The sequence below is a fragment of the Homo sapiens genome, chromosome 1 (assembly GCF_000001405.40).
Source record: "Homo sapiens chromosome 1, GRCh38.p14 Primary Assembly".
NCBI classification, from domain to species: Eukaryota; Metazoa; Chordata; class Mammalia; order Primates; family Hominidae; genus Homo; species Homo sapiens.
This window is the reverse complement of record NC_000001.11, coordinates 18,041,633-18,058,405: the sequence shown is the minus strand read 5'-3', so window position 1 is coordinate 18,058,405 and position 16,773 is coordinate 18,041,633. Positions and strand designations below refer to the sequence as shown.

Genomic DNA, 16,773 nt, shown 5'->3' with positions numbered 1-16,773 from the left:
AGGAGCCAGAATTTGAATCTGACCTCTCTGTCTCCAGAGTCCCTGCTCTTTCTTTCCACTCACAAGGCTGCCTCTGGGACTCAGCGAGTCTGTACTTTGAGGCGGGGAAAGGGACATTTATTTGAGCTTCCAGCCAGGCTACAGGAGACAGAGACCCGGGAGTCGGCAAGCGCCTTCCACATTTTGGAGTAAACTAAAAAGTTTACTGGACGGTAGAGCCTCCTTGCCTCCCAAGGCTGCCACCCTCCATCAGCCATATTAGTCAGATGGAAGAGGATTAAGACATGGTGGAAACAAAGCACTAGACATTCCACACGGGCCAAGCCGGGGCTGCACTCTATGTGCCCAGGCAAATTGGAAGATTATGGGGAACAGGCAGAACTGGCATCAGACCAATCCTGGCCAACTCTACTTTCTGCCAATGGTGATGATCCAAGAAGCCAAGAAGGAGGCTGGAGCTGGGATCTAGCTCCAGCTCTGGGGTCAAGCCACAGCAAGCACCACATAGGTCAGATCCTGCTGCACAGATGAGGAAAGTAAAGCACAGACAACTTGTCCAGGGATGCAATGACCACAGCCCCATTGCACAACAGGCAGAGGGGTGGATTCTGAGGTCCTTTCCAGCTCTCGTTTTCTGTCTGCAATAGCCAAGCAAGTGACGTGCATAGGAAGGATTCCACTTGCTCTCAAGCCTCCAACAGCTGAACTGCGAGGTCTAGGCTGAAGATACAGAGTTGCCGTCTTGAAACTACATCAAAGGAAAACTATGTGAGAGTTGGCGCTGCTCAAGAATGGACTTGCTCTGCAGGTAGTGAGTTCCCTGTCTTCAGAGGCATCTTAGCGAGGCTGGAAGAGGTGTGCCCTGCTAGTCCTTTCCATGTCTGTGCCCAACCAATAGGATGTCTTGCCATTCTCTGATGATCATGATTTTTCTTTCCAAATATAATCAGGTCTGCAGTCAGAGGCAGGGAGAAATAACAGAGCAGTGGAGTCCCCACCAGTGATGATTTGCAGTTCCTACCCTAACCCCTTGTGCTTCCTATACCCAGTCCGATGGGAGGAGGTGGCCCGTGTTCCCACTTGCAAAAGCCCCTGACCACCTTGTGTTGACCTTCAGTCGCAAGTCCTAGAAAGGCCAATAATGGACCTGTTAATGGGGCCAACTTGCAGCAAAGACCTTTGCACAAAAATCACATCTTTTGTTATGAAAACAATCTAATAATTCACACTTGAGTTGCTTTTTTTCTAATAACACTTCTATTCACACCACAGGAAGACCACACATATAAGGGATTCGAAAAGTGAGCATGAGGAATTTTATGCCCCAAAGAGGAAGGTCACGTTGAGGGTGATGCTTATCCTGCAGAAGTGAGGATAGTGATGAGTGTCAGAGGAGGCACATCCCAGGGTGAGTGCAGGGCCCAGCAGGGTCTGAGCTGGTCAGGAAATTTCTAGGGGAGTTGATTCCAGAGCGGAGTCCTGACTGATGTGTAAGGTGCACTCTGGTCAGCAGCCTGGAGATGCTGATGATGACAAGAGTTCAGTTGGACCAGAGTTTCTCAGATCCTCCCTTCCCATATCTCAAATGCAAGGATTTGCATCTCCCTGTGGTCCCTCCCTCCTAATCCTGGCCCAGGGAATGCTCCCTCCTCTTTTGTGTCCACCCACTATTGTTTGCTCACAGGTTCACATGGCTCTGCTGAAAGTGAATTAACTCTTGTTAATAGCCCTGTACTCTAGGAGACTGTAACTCCTCTAAGGCAGATACCTCTACCCTGTGGGTATTCCTAACAGTAAGGCCAGCCCTGCCCTGGCAAAGCTAATGACTAAACTGATGCTTGGGATGGTGGTAATGCAGGGTCTTGGGAGGTGATGGGTGAGAAGGCACACCTTGGGGCTGACTCCAGAATCTCACCTCTGCCCCCACTGGCTTTGTTCTCTTAGGCAAGTTATGAATGCTCTGAGCCATACTTTCCTCACCTGTAAAATGGGATAATAAATAGCACTTACCACGTATGGTTATGAATACTATTTACCGAGAGCTTTTAATAAGTACTGTGCACAAATTATGTGATTTTCTTTTATTCCTCCTGCTAAGATAAAGATGAGTATTAATATCACCCCCATTTTGTCCTTGAAGTAACAAGGTGTAGTGAGCTTTACTACCTGAGCAAGGTCACAAAGCTGGGTGAGAGGGGCTGGGATTCACATTCAAGCACTGTGTTCCTAGGCCCCTTGACCCCTGGCATCTGTGGGGTTATGAAGATAACACGAGGTCACACACCGGGATCAATTGCCAGAGTGCCTGGTCTTAGCACTCCTTATCTTCCCCTTTGTCTTCGTCTTTGACTTCTCAGAATTCTTTTCCTCCAGATTATTAGTAGTACCATTATAATTAATAAAGGTGCCCTCTGATCTGATGGGGAAGAAGATAACGTCCACCCTTTTCATACATGGCTGAATTATCTCAGGATCCAAATATCTGCTATAGTGCCCAGTACTCAGTAAATGCTAGTCCATTTGTATTGAATGAATGAATGAATGAATGAATGACTTAATGGTCCTCACAGTGGAGTCTAGGAAAGGTGTGCAGTGGGAAAGGGAGCCCAGGGCACCCTCAGAGCCTCCTGCCCTCTTGCTTGGGCCTGGAGGAGCAAGCCCCTTAGAGATGCTCAAACTCTCTCTGAGCCCCACTTTCCCTACTCAGAAAATGGGATCACAGTTAGCACCCACCTCATATGGTTACCATTATAGTATTTACTGAGTGTCTTCCATACATATTGTGCACAAGAGTGACCTCTTTATTAGTGGACAAAATAGAAACACCAGGACTTCCCTGCAGGAATCTTCTCACTGGGCAACCCCCAAAATCCAAGGCCTCTGGGTGGGGCATCACTGCCAACTGGCTCGGAGGCAGAAACACCACTCTCAGGTCTAAATGTTCTCGTCCTCAAAGAGCGGAACAAATCCCACAGGGGTATTGATTGAAACCATTACGGATTCGTGGAGACAACACGCTGGCCGGGAATAGGAGCCAGCTGCTGCCGTCTATTTCCATAAGGTAATAATAAGACGTGCCTTCGCTTTATGAAGTAGAATTTGTTACGGCCGATGAGCCGTAAAAATTGCCCGGTGGGGAAAAAAAAGAAAGGAAAAAAACTATAAATAAATTTGTAGTTTTAACAGGGATTACCATGTAATTGAGAGGGGAAGACAACTAATGGCAGAGGCAAAGGCCAGCTCAGCCCCCAGGTCTTGGCTCCAAGGCAGGGCTGAAATGCTGAAGCAGAATGGGTCATGAAAGCTCTGGAAGGAAAAGTTAGCAGGCACCAAGCCTTGAGAACAGACTCAAGGAGAATGGGGAAAAAATTCATTTGGCAATAATTTACTGAATGCCTACTATGTGGGCCTGACATGAGTGGGGAAACACAATGGAGATGTCCCCACTGGCCATGAATGGGCACCATGATGGATTCTAAACAAGAGCATGACATGATCTGCTTTCTGCTTGATAAAGCCCCCCTCTGGCTGTTGTATGCAAAATGGGCTGGAAGGGACAAGAGTGGGACCTAGGAGATGAGTCAGGCGGCTACAGCCATGAGACTCAGGTCTGAACGAGTGTTGGTTTGAACTAACACAGAAAAAGAGGACACACAGAGGGAAGAGAGGTGTTAAGGATGCAGAGGATGTAGGGCCTGGGATGAATCAATGGATGGGAGAACACAGAGGAGGAATACGATGGCTGGGGCCTCTGGCTTTAGTGACCTGGGTGGGTGACAGTACTCTCACTGAGAGGGTGGAATGTTTTGTTCAATAGTTGTCATATTACATTTCAGAGGCCTACAAGACATCCCAACAGAGACATCCAGTAGGCAGTTAGGTAGCAGAGAGATCTGAGCTGCGGTGAAGGTTGGAAAGTTGCCAAGAGAAAAATGGTCCTTGTAACTGGTAGGAGATGGGGGAGAGCTGAGGAAGAGTGGAAAGAGGACAAAGAGAGGGGGCCGAAGACCAAATGTAGAGAATAGTGATGTTTAAGGAGTGGGCAGAGAAAAGACTGACAGGGAGGAATAGAGAGAGTAGAAAAGACAAAGAGTGTTGAGTACTGACAGAGCTAAGCTCACTCCAAGGACTGGGTGTGGTGACTCCCACCTGTAATCCCAGCATTTTGGGAGAATGAGGTGGGCAGACCACTTGAGACCAAGAGTTTGAGACGAGCCTGGCCAACATGATAAAACCCTGTCTTTACTAACAATACAAAAATTAGCCGGGTATGGTGGCGGGCACCTGTAATTCCAGCTACTTGGGAGGCTGAGGCATGAGAATTGCTTGAACCTGGGAGGCGGAGGTTGCAGTGAGCACTCCAGCCTGGGCAATACAGTGAGACTCTGTCTTAAAAAAAAAAAAAATACTAAGCTCACTCCAGCTTGGGTCCCTTATGACCAGAGGTGGACATTTCAGGACACTTGCCATGGCTGCCATCAGTGCACAGCCATGGAACCATCCATCTTGATTGGAAAAGTAATTGATATTTTGAAAACCTGATCTCCAACCCTATACCCTAGCCCCATCACCTCTAGGAAATGTCAAAGGGAGTGGGTTTTGAAGGTTTGAATCAAGGCTCTTTCATTTAGTGGCCCAATATCTTCTAAGGGGATGGGTAGCTCAACATTTGTGTGCCTCATTTGGTCTTCTATAAAATGGGGAAATAAAACATTGCCCTTCAAGACTGTTGCCGGGACTAAATGAGATGGATTAAAGGAACTTGCCTGGTGTGTTGCAGACACTTAATCGATTTCAGTTTGGTTTCCTCCAACACATCAAGGTACCTGACCCAGAATAATCTCATCTTTAAAAGCAGCCCGGAGATAAATCATCATTAAAATGGGCAGAGTGTAGATGGTACCAGGGAGAAAGTGGGATGCTGGGATGTAGCTCTGAGTAGTCATGGAAACTTCCTGGAAGAGAAGAGTTTCTAGCAGTTTCCACAAATGATGGTGAGTGGCTCAAAGAGCTCAGAGGAGGTGAATGTTCCAAGGTGAGCCTAAGGTCTCCAGGAGGCAGATGAAGGAGTCAAGAGGAGGATACTGGGCCAGCCCGGGAGAATGCTTGGAGCACGTGATCCTGAGCTGACAGACAGCCACATCCCCAAGTGGCTCGGGCAGCTGTGCACAGCATCCGCCACACAAGATCTCAAGTTTGTCTGGGAGTGACATGGAGAATTCCTGTCTCCAGGGAACCCACTCTGGTGGGAAGGTTGCATTTTCCTTCCTTGTTTACACTTTGGAGTTATAAAATTTCACTTTTTCCCTCTCTCCTAAACCCCATGATGCTTATAAACAAACATCCCTGATATACAAAGATAAATGGAAATCATAAGTTCCCAAGCTTCAGAGTCCAAACAAAGAAGAGGAAAGAGAGCGGGGGTGGGGAGGAGGCAGATTCGATGAAATCTAGACCGTGCCAGCTCCGTTCTCTGGTCATGATCAATATGTTCTCCAAAGTGCCTTTTAAATTACTGTCGGAGGCAATGTGCCATATTTATGTATATACATGCTTAGAGGTGACACAAGGGAGAAATGCAATTTCTATTATGAAATCATAATGTGCATTTATCTTCAGGAATAACACATTGAAATGTTGGAGTGAGAAAAGTTGAAAAGCAATCTGTCTATAAATAAAGACCGCAGACATCCTGACATTTTACGATGCGGGGAATTTCAGTGAGAACTTCTTTGGACATATCATCCAAGGGATCATGTTTAAACTCCAAGTTCTTGGAAGACAGCATTTGGAAGTCCACAAGCCTACATGCTGGTATCTAAAGCAAAGGAAATTGATTTTGCTTCCTTGACAGAGAGGAGTATGGAGTTGGGCTGGGGTTAGGGGGTACATGTCAATTCAGGATAAATTTGGTTTCTACTTTGGTGGTAGTATTTTGAGGGGTTTCTCAGAATAAGGAGAATGTAGATTTCTGCAGCCAGGTTGCTGTAGGTACACCTGTTCTTCCTTTTGACAGTGAACAATCAAGTGTGAAAATCCAGGCAAATTCAGAGGAAATCTTTGGTCTCTCAGTGATCACCATCCCTTGACATCTTGAGTCACACTGGCCCATGGACAGGTAGATTGCATTCTTAGCCAGGGGCTGGAGTCCAGAGGTCACTGTGGTCTTGACCTTCTAGATGCAGGACCAAAACAAAGAAGAAGAAAGGGGGGGGGTGGGAAGGAGGCAGATTTGGCAGCATCATAGGCAAAGATGACAGGCAAATTTAAATGCTGAGAGGAGGTGGGTTATGGTGGTTGATGGGGGTGTGTTAGGGGAAGGAGTAGGGACGGGAGAGGGATCCTACCATCCATGTCTCTGACCCAGAATAAGGCAGGATAGGAGGGCAGCTTGCGCTGGTTCTCCCATCACTCATTCATTTGTTGATTCATTCATCTGCTTATTTGTTCATTCACTCTGCAGCCATTTCGGAGCACCTTCTAAGTGCAGCACAGTGTTGGGGACATGAGACAAATATGACACCTTCCCTGCCCTCAGGAACCTCACAGTACTCTAGACAGACATGTAATTGGCAATTACCAGGAAGAGAGAGATGTTAAAGGTGCTATGGGGCCAGCAAAGGAAGTGGGGGTATGTCTAACTCAGCCTAGGGAATCAGGTGAGGCTTCCTGGAGAACTGTCTGAGAGAATGAGCAGAAAACGACCAGGTGGGAAAATAGCAGAGATTTCAGGCAGAGGAAATGGAGATTCCAGGCATGCATGCAGGAAGGCTCTGAAATACAAATGGGTTTATACCTAATTGTGAGGGATCCCCAGGCCTGGAGAAATTAGACAATGTTTACCCTTGTGGGGGATGCGTGGGGGCACTGCACCAACCTCTTAATCAACCAAATAACTACATACTACATCCGTGCATCCACATGAGCATCCCTGCATATCACATAGGTCCTCGCATGTATATAGGCATCCTGTCATTTACAGGGCATCAGGATTTGAGCCCAGGCCTGTCCAACTCCAGCTCACACAGTGACCCCCACCAAAATGTGCCCAGGTCTGTGCTAAGCTTGAGAGGGACACAGAATCATCAGAGAATCAGTCAGAACAGGTCCTGTATGAGTTTGTCCAGTGCCTTAAAAAGAGTATGGGCTGGAGTCAGACCCAGGGGCGAAACCAGCCCTGCCACCCACAGCCGGGTGAGCTAGGGCAAATCTTGGAGCCCATGTTTCCCGCCTTTACAGGGAGGCTGGCAAAATGATTCCCTCCCCAGGGGGCTGTCATGGGGGTGAATGAGATCATGTTTGTAAGACATCAAGCAGGTGTCTGGCACAGAGAAAGGGCTCAATCACGGTAGCTATTATTACCATAATGATTAGGGGTAGTATGATTTTTATTACTACTATTACTAGAGCCACTGAGGGGTTGGGGGCTCTGGCAGGACTGGGCTGGAAGTCAGAGGCCCCACTTTGCTCTTGACCTCAGTTGCTCCATCTGCAGAGCCTGGGGCCGCATTTGCTGGGTTCTGAGCCCCTGGTTCTGTCATCGGTCTGCCTCTGCCCTTCTCAGACCCCCTGAGGAGCCCAGGGACCCAGCTGGTGGCAATGCTATCCAGGTCTCAGGGGCTTTCTGGTCAGCCTCGCTAACCCCTTGTTCTCTCCACAATGGAGCGACACTGAAGCCGATTATCTCTGCACCTCCAAGTGTTGGGATGGATGTACATGCTACATCCGTGCACCCACATGCTCATCCCTGTGTATCACATAGGTCCTCGCATGTATACAGGCATCCCGTGAGGAGAGGACCCAGCCCCCTAGGCCAGTCCATGCAGCCCTCAGGGCTTCTGCACCTAACCCTCTCCAGGCAGGTCACATGAGCTCTCAACCTCAGCCCGGTCAGCAAAGCTTAACTGGAGCATGGCCTTTGTCACACCCCAGGCCCTGCAGGCACTGGTACTTCATCTTACAGATGAGGAAACTGAGGCCCATAAAGGGAAAGTGACTTGCCCAACACCACCCAACGACTCGAGGCAGCAGAATCCTTCTGTGAGTTAAGACAGAAGATGCTGCTCAGCCAGAGCCCTGCTCCTCTGTGGGCTCGGGAGAGTCGCTGTGCCCCTCTGGGTCTGTCTTTACCTGGGAATGGGAGGGGATGGTGGTGGCTCCTGGTTGGATGACATGAGACCATTTGAGAGGGTCACTGGTGCAGCATCAGGCACACAGTAACCACTCAATAAACAGCACCTGCTCACAGTATGGTTACTCACATTGTTATTTTTATCCCAGTTCCTTAAAGAAATCAGCCCACTGTGAAGAGTCTGCATTTGTGGAAGTTCTTGCATTTTCAGGGTTGGAAAGAAGAAGCTAAGATTGGAAGTGAGTCTGGGGACAGAAAGAAGGCTGGAATAATACCACCAATAACACCACCACCACCACCAATAATACCACCACCAATAACACCACCACCACCACCAATAACACCATCACCACTACCAATAATATCACCACCACCACCAATAACACCACCACCACCACCAATAACACCATCACCACTACCAATAATATCACCACCACTACCACCACCACCAATAACACCACTACCACCACCACCACTACCACCACCACCAATAACACCACCACCACTACCACCACCACCAATAACACCACTACCACCACCACCACTACCACCACCACCAATAACACCACCACCACTACCACCACCACCAATAACACCACCACCAATAACACCATTACCACCACCACCAATAACACCAGCATCACCACCATCACCACCACCACACTACCAGCACCATCACCATCACCAGCATCATCAGCACCATCACCATCACCACCATCACCAGCATCACCACCACCATCAGCATCATCATCGCCATCACCATCACTATCACTAGCATCACCATCATCAGCACCATCACTATCACCACCAGCCCAGCAGCATCACCATCACCATCACCATCACCACCACCATCACTATTACCAGCATCACCATCACTATCAGCAGCACCAGGATTATCATTACCATTATCATCACCATCACCACTATTACCATCACCAGCATCACCATCATCACCATCATTATCAATATCAGCAGCAGCATCACTATCACCATCACCATCACCATTATTATCACCATCAGCACCAGCATCACCATCACCATCACCATCACCATCTCCATCACCAGCAGCAGCAGCAGCAGCTCTATTCTTCATTTCCATTTTCCACTCCCAGCCACCCCCAGCCACTCTCCTGGCTTGGGCCACCAGGCTCCCTGAGCTTGGTACCTTTTGGGTGGTGTCTGCTGGGGCTGAAACCCCGCTTCCCTTTGCAGTCTTAGGAACTTGGGCTCCTTTTCCTTGTTTCCTAGAGGTCATTACTGTATTTATCACATAGGTTTTTTTCTTTTCTCTCCTTTTTTTATGAGGATTACTTTACAACCAGAGATTTTGCTTTTTGCAGCACCAGACATGGCACCGGCCAGGCCTGGTGTTTATGAGGGCTTTTGGGAAGGTTTATGAGGCTCCAGTTTGGGCCCTTCCTTCTGGATCCCACCAGTCCAGGGCTGGGGGAGGTGGGGGCAGATGAAGCTGGAAAAGCTGTTTGTTTGTGGGTTTCCTCTTCCTCTTCTTGAGATCTTAGGCTGTTCCTGGGGCAGGGGATCCCTCATAACTTGTCTGGGAAGAGATAAAGAGACATGTGGGTTCCCAACTCATGTGGTCTCATGCATTTCCCTTCTACCCCGGGACTGAGTTTTTGCATGTATAAAATAGGAGTGTTTGAAGTAATTACTGTGCAGGGTTGTTGTGAGGATACATGCTCAGCACAGTCAGCAGACAGAATAGGTAGGAACCTCTCCACTCTTTCTCACGCCCTAGGAAAGGCAGGTGGGCCGCCAGCCGCACTTTGCACCTAGAACTTTCTGGGAGCCTGTAGCAATAACAAACAACATCTTCTCAATGTCTACATCAGAACCAGGTACTATGCTAAGCCCGAAAGCCCTTCATTGTACTTACTCTGCATAATAACCTCAGGAGGTGGGTGTTGTCATCATCTGCATTTTACAGATGACAAAACTGAGGCTGAGAGGTTCTATTGCTTACCTAAGGCCACCCAGCTAGTAAGAGGTGGGGCAGAGATTAGCATCTGGATAGTTTGACTCTACATACTATATTCTTGGATTTGAACCCTGATCTAGGAACTGTGAGAGGAGACAGGAAGAAGAGTCAGGGAGCCCAGCGGAAGAGGTTCATCCCAGTTTAGTGCAGAGAGCTCCTGGTCCCCAGAAAGACACCCAGTTTCTACCCTCGAGAGCGCCTTTCTAGACAGAAGAGGGACTGATTGATGCCCAAGGCCCTGGAGATTTAGATCTAGGGCCAGACCTTATAGGATGACTCTGCCTTGGGGAGGACACCCCAGCCATGCTTATGAATGTTTGTTTTCCCTTTCGACCTAAGACAGCCTACCAGAATGGGGCTTGTGCAAAGGCAGGCACACTTCTGTTCAGACACTAGGTAGAATTTCCAAATAAGCCAAGCAGCAGAAGAAACTCAAAATAAAGATCCTTCAAAATGTCCTCCTCTGGGAATTTTCTAAGGGAAGGGTTGATTTCCAGGGTGCCCACATGGAGGCAGGGGTCTGAAACAGATGCCCCCAGAGCCCTTTCTGCCTGGGCCATGGACAGAAGCCCCCACTATTAAGCAAGTGTGAGACAGCCACATGCCAGGCCTCTAGGCCCTCCTTGGCTGCATGGCCTCTGCCTTCCCCACCCTCCCCATGGCCCCTGGCTCCCTCCGAGCCTCCTGGGCCCTGGAACAGCTATTTAACAGGCCGTGATGCAGTGCTGATGGCACACGGTCTTGTCTGCCAGCAGGAAGGCTCTGGGAGCGGGATGTAGCAATGCGGCTTGTGGATCCTGCTAAGAGATATTTAATAAATATGCAAATCGCTGCCTCTACCTCCTCAGGCAGGTAAGGAGTGGGGAGAGGCTGGAGTTAAGTATTAAATCTCTGCACAATGTGGAGTGCTTAGCACACAGGCAGGGACTGGAGCTGAACTCCCTGGGAAGCTTCCATCTGGCATCCTAGAGCTCCTGCTTAGGAGGATGGAAGAGAGTGGGAGAGGAAGGAGGACTTAAAAGTAGGATATGGAAAAAAGGAGTACAAAGGAAGTGTTTTACTTAGGAGTCTGAGCATAACATTGGAAGGTGAAAAGACACTTTGTGTCTTTATGCAACCATTACCACACCAGCCAGCCACTCTATTATACCACATGGATCTACCCATCCAGATCTTCACCACCCACCCAATATACACTTAACTCACCGTCCAAACCATCAACCTACCCACTCAACCTTGCACCCACCCATCCAATCATCTTTGGCCTGCTCACTCTCTCACATCCAAACACGCAGACATCAAACCCTTGTTCCATCCATCCATCTGTCTATCTTCCAATTCATCCATAAATCCATCTATCTGTCTATCCACTTAACTACTAAATCACCACTCAACCAAATGCCTATCCAACCATCTGCCTGCCTTCTTACTTTTTCATCAACTATTTATCCATCTATCCATCCATCCATCCATCCATCCATCCATCCATCTATCCATTCATGTTCTATTTCCTCTATGCAAAACCCTGTTCTAGGCACTGAAAATGCAAAAACAATTGGGCAAGACCCTTTCCTTTGAGGAGTCTTCAGCATATTCAAGGGGATCAAGTGCACAAGGTGGAAAGTGCTTCTGCTACCCATGGCTTAGGGGAAGGTCTCACCTAAGATGTACTTCCTCCTGGGAAAATCAAGAAACTATTCCTGGACAAGATAGCATTTCAACTGGAATGACACAGATTGGTTAGTCTCCTGCTCCCAGCCCCAAATTAGCTCAGTTTATAGCACATATATTTCTGGAGCTCTGGGATAGAGACATAGATGAGCCGGTCATGATCTCTGCCCCCAAGATGTTACGGTCTAGTAGGGGAGAGAGATGTAGAAAGAATAAGTAATGCAATCACAGAGGACTGCAAGGCCCTGGGGCAGCAAGTGGAGGGTGTGGTTAACCTTGGTGTCTGCAGATGGCAACCAGGAAGGTGCCAGTTAAGCCTTAGCCCATGTGGCACAGACACACCTCACCTGGAATTTAGGGCATGGCTTGCAGATGTCTGCTTTTACATTCTGGAACCCAGGCCTGGCCAAATCTTGGGTTGAGCAGAAACTGCTGAACTGTAAAGGAGGGGTCGTCTGCTCCTGTTGGCATGACCTGCCATGCTTTTGCCTGTATATTAACTTTGCAAGTCAGCAAATGACCCACTGAGGGTCTTAGTGGAAGGAGCACTGGTTTTAGAGTCTGGCAGAATTTCCTTCCAATTCAGGCTCTGCTCTTTACTGAGAGTGAGACTTGGGAATCTCCACCTCCTCCTCTTCTAAATGAGGGGAACGATGCCTTCATCAAGAGGGGTGGGGCTGTGTGATGAAATGGCCCACGGTGGGAAGGCACTTAGTGAGTGCTCTCGGGCATGTGGCAGGCTCCCGGGCCGGCCAGTGCTAGCGGGTGGCTGGGCTCCTGGAGGCCTGGGGCTGGGCTGTGTGCTGTTCTGTACACAGGTCTGCACCATCCTTCCCTCTCCTCTGCCTGCCTCCACTTGGGTCAGTAGCTCGCTCCTGGGGGAGTCTCAGGGGACCTCATGCATTCACTCTTTGAGTCATTAATTCACATACGAATTGCCAGGACAGTTCTCTCTGCCAGTGACCAGCAGGGCATCTATTTCCAACCTCTCTAACCAATTATATAAAGCACTGAAATTTTCTTAAAGTACCCTCCCTCCCTGAAGTCTTCATCTCCTTCCTCCCCCCTACTTTGCAAGCTGAAATGGAATTATATATATTTTTTGCCATCATCTGCTGTAGACTATGGCTCCCAAAGAATCATGGGTAATTTCAGATGCAAATGTCCTATGCAAATCCAGCTGCTGGTTAAAATTAGGAGGAAGCCCAAGGCAGATGCAGTTGCAGGCTGTAACTGGAATCTCCACCGAGCCTTGATTTAAAATGCAAGTGACGCTGCAGGCTTTCAACACGGAGCTACAAGCTTAGTCCCAGGTCCCAAGGTTCTGTTGCTCCGTGCATGGGGTTTTGTAAAGCAAGTGTGGGTCACTTACCTGGCAGACTGGGAGCGGTTTTTCAGGCTTGTATTCCAACCCAGTGGTTCTCAACCAGGGGTGATTTTTGTCCCCCAGGGGACATTTGGCGATGTCTGAAGACATTTTGGGTGTCAGAACTTGGTAGGTGCAACTGGCATCTGGTAGGTGGACACCAGGGAAACTGCTAAACATCCTACAATGCACAGGCCAGCCCCAACTACAAAGACTCAGCGGGCCCAAAATGTAGACAGTGCAGAGGCCGAGAAACCTTCTTCAAACCTATGCCAACCCATGCCCTGGAAGTTCGCTGGGATCCACGAGAGGAAGAGAAGGTGGAGTCTTCGTTCGTTAATCAGTCATTACATTCACCTTGAAAAGAGAGTTGGATTAGTCCAAGTCCAACACAACGTTCAACTCACCATCCATTAACATCCTGATCTCACACAGCCTCACTCTTGTTTTGCTTTGTTCGATTTTTCTCCTTCTCCCTGATGCTATTGCCTGGCCCCTCCTGACTGCCCCCTCTGTAGCTCCACTCTAAAATCTCTAATATATGTCCTCAGATACGGATGGTGCCTATAAAATATATGGTGTTGTTTATTGTGCGAATGTGTTTTAATTTACATAAATTGTATTGGGCTATAGATCTCATTCTGTTGCTTAATTTTTTCACTTAACACCATGTTTTTAAGATCTACCTGAGTTGCTGTGCATTATCTCATTCGATGTTTCTGACTGCTGCAGAGTTTCTCTAGAGATGTCCGCTGTTCCAGGGGTGGACACTAGATTGCCTCCGATGCCCCACCATGTGGGTGACCCACTGGGACCACGTGAGTGTTTCCCCGGAGTCTCCCCAGGAGTGGGATGGTGGGGTCAGAAGGCGTGCAGTACTTCATTTCCCTGAATACTGACAGGTTTCTTCGAGGACACTGGTACTCAGCACATGGCATTATCCAAATTTCTCATTTTTTTTCCAACCTGATTGGTATGACATTGTTGTTTCCATTTGGGAAAGGAAGATGGAATTTTAAAAAGCATTTTCTAGGACCTAAGAATGAGAAGTCATCTTAAGAGTGAGCTAGTCCTGGGGACCTAAGGCTCCGCCTACTTACAGATGAAGCAGCTGAAGGCCAGAGAGCTCTAGGTGCACAAACTTAGGAAGCCATTCATTCTTCAAATGGTAAATAATTACCCGGAGTCTTCTCTGAGTCAGGGCCCCTGCATTCAGGACAGGGTGGTAAACAATAGAGACATGTTGCCATCCCTTGAGGAGCATATGCATGAGTGGGGAGAGAGCAAACCATTGCAGAAACAACTCATTAAATGCCACTGTGATTAGTGCTACAGAGATGCACAAGATGCTGCATTGGAGTGGGGAGGATGGGGTGCGGTGGGGGATGTCAGAGAGAGTTTCCCCAAGGAAGGGACATTTAGGCTGTGACGTAAGGGATGACAAGAATTCCCCGGGTGATGGGGGAGCGAGTTGTCAGGCTTCTCAGAGCCTTGGTCTCCTATGTATTGATGAGATAACATACATGGGCCATGTAGCTAATGTGAGATAAACATAGTGGCTGGGCACTGTGTTAGGAGCTGAGAGATGAAGCTGATGAGATCAGGAGCCCAGCCCTCGACAAGTGATGAGCTCACAAACAGGGGTTCCATTGCTGGAAGCCATGTACAAAGGTGAGGACACTAGGGAGCTGAGAAGCTGCAGGGATGGGTGGTACAGATGGGTGGGGTGGAATTGGGGAGAGGGGTGATGGGGATGGATGGGACAGTGCAGGTTAAGTGGAAGTGAAGTGGGGTCAGATGTCTCTTTCTGAGGGACCCAAGGCAGTCAGAGAATTCAGACTAGATGCGGGGACCAAGCTTTGAAAGCAACACAGTAAGCATTGAAAGTAGGGAAGGCTCCTCTGCGAGACCCCTTGGCACAAGTCTGGGGATGGGTAAGAGGTGCCAGGTTTGGTGACTGCAGAATTGAGAGTGAAGAGGACTTCTGCGTCGGAGCTTCCTGTGCTTATGTAGGTCCTCCTTCCCCTATTTCACTGGGGACTTCCCTGTGAAACAAGAGCTGGAGCTTTCTCCTCAGCCTGGGAGCTCTCAGTACCTAGGAGGTCATGGGCTCTGTCCTCCACCACCTCATCAGGCCATCAGGTCCTAATGTCTGGGTTCTCCCTGCAGCCCTGTGCTCATCAACCTGGGAGTTCCCTTAAGGTGGCACCTTCCTTCCCTGGGTTTACAAAGAGCTGGGCGTCTGCTGCTGTGCCAGGAGGGCATCACTGCCCCAGTGATTCTGCTGAGTATCTGGTGGGCGGTGTCCTTATCCAGGCAGCTTTGTAGCAGCTTTGAAGGGGCTGACAGAGGTTACTGTTCTGTACCCTCCTCTTTACCCTGCCTGCCACAATTTATAAACGTGCCTCTTTTCTAGAACTACACTGACCCCAGAACCTCAACAATTCCCCATCTTAATCTTTTTCCTGGGCACGAAGATGCCCTCTGAGGCCTTGGGGCACATGAAACATCCTTTTCCCCTCCCTGTTTTGAGAGGGAATCCCTGATGGGCCAGGCGCGGTGGCTCACGCCTGTAATCCCAGCACTTTGGGAGGCCGAGGCAGATGGATCACTAGGTCAGGAGATCAAGACCATCCTGGGTAACATGGTGAACGCAGTTTCTACTAAAAATATAAAAAAAAAATTAGCAGGGCTTGGTGGCGGGCGCCTGTAGTCCCAGCTACTCAGGAGGCTGAGGCAGGAGAATGGCGTGAACCCGGGAGGCAAAGGTTGCAGTGAGCCGAGATCACGCCATTGCACTCCAGCCTGGGCGACAGAGCGAGACTCTGTCTAAAAAAAAAAAAAAAAAAAAAAAAAGAGGGAACCCCTGATGGCCCAGCCTCTGAGAGCAGACCTCATTTTGGAGAGCCCAGGAGCAGCAGCCCTGACGGGCTTCATCCCCCCTTCCCCAACCTGATCCGATTTTCTCCTTCAGGCTTAGATGAACAGGGTGGGACGCCCTGCCTCTGGGACCCATTGGCGTCTCTGTCCCTTCCCACCCCCGCGGGGGCCCCTGCCTCCGCCTGCACAGGGTACTGTCTTCCCAGCTCTGGTCTGCGCTCTATCTGCATACTTATCAGTCCAGGAGCCTGAGGCCAGTAGACTTCAAAGACTATATAAAATGTGTTTGTGATTGTGTGTGTGTGTTTTTAATATCAGCAAACTGTATTTTCAGGGAGAGAAGGCCAGAGCCACAGAAAGAAAAAACAAAAAAAACACCCAGGAAAAAGATTGTGGTTGTGAGGGAGGGGGGACTTACTGCTGAGAGTGGGAGCCAGGTGGCTGGTTTTGAAGCAAGCCTGGGTACATTCAGTGCACCAGGAGGTGGCGGTGTCCAGGCCCCTCTCTATTCCCAGATGAAAGGCAGGGAAGGATGGAAATTCCAAGCTTGCAGCAGGGACTGCCCTTGGAGCCAAAATTCACCTCCAATTTCTTAAGGGCTCTGGGTTAAGATCACAGGCCGTGAAATCCAACAGCCAAGAGCCCTGGTGACTAGCTGTTTAAAACGTGACTGGTAACGGAGCCCAACCTCAGGGTTGTTGGGGGAATTTACTGGGATGACAGCTGGGA

At 49.0% G+C, this 16,773-nt stretch overlaps 1 long non-coding RNA gene across 1 annotated transcript; it reads right to left on the bottom strand.

The window, feature by feature from the left end:
- Window positions 1–6,030: 6,030 nt before the first annotated feature.
- On the bottom strand, window positions 6,031–14,652 carry LOC105376812 (uncharacterized). The gene is made up of 3 exons (XR_947008.3): window positions 13,851–14,652; window positions 13,171–13,521; window positions 6,031–6,175 (listed from the first exon to the last, which is right to left on the bottom strand). It is a non-coding gene; the product is annotated as an uncharacterized LOC105376812 (long non-coding RNA).
- Window positions 14,653–16,773: the final 2,121 nt, after the last annotated feature.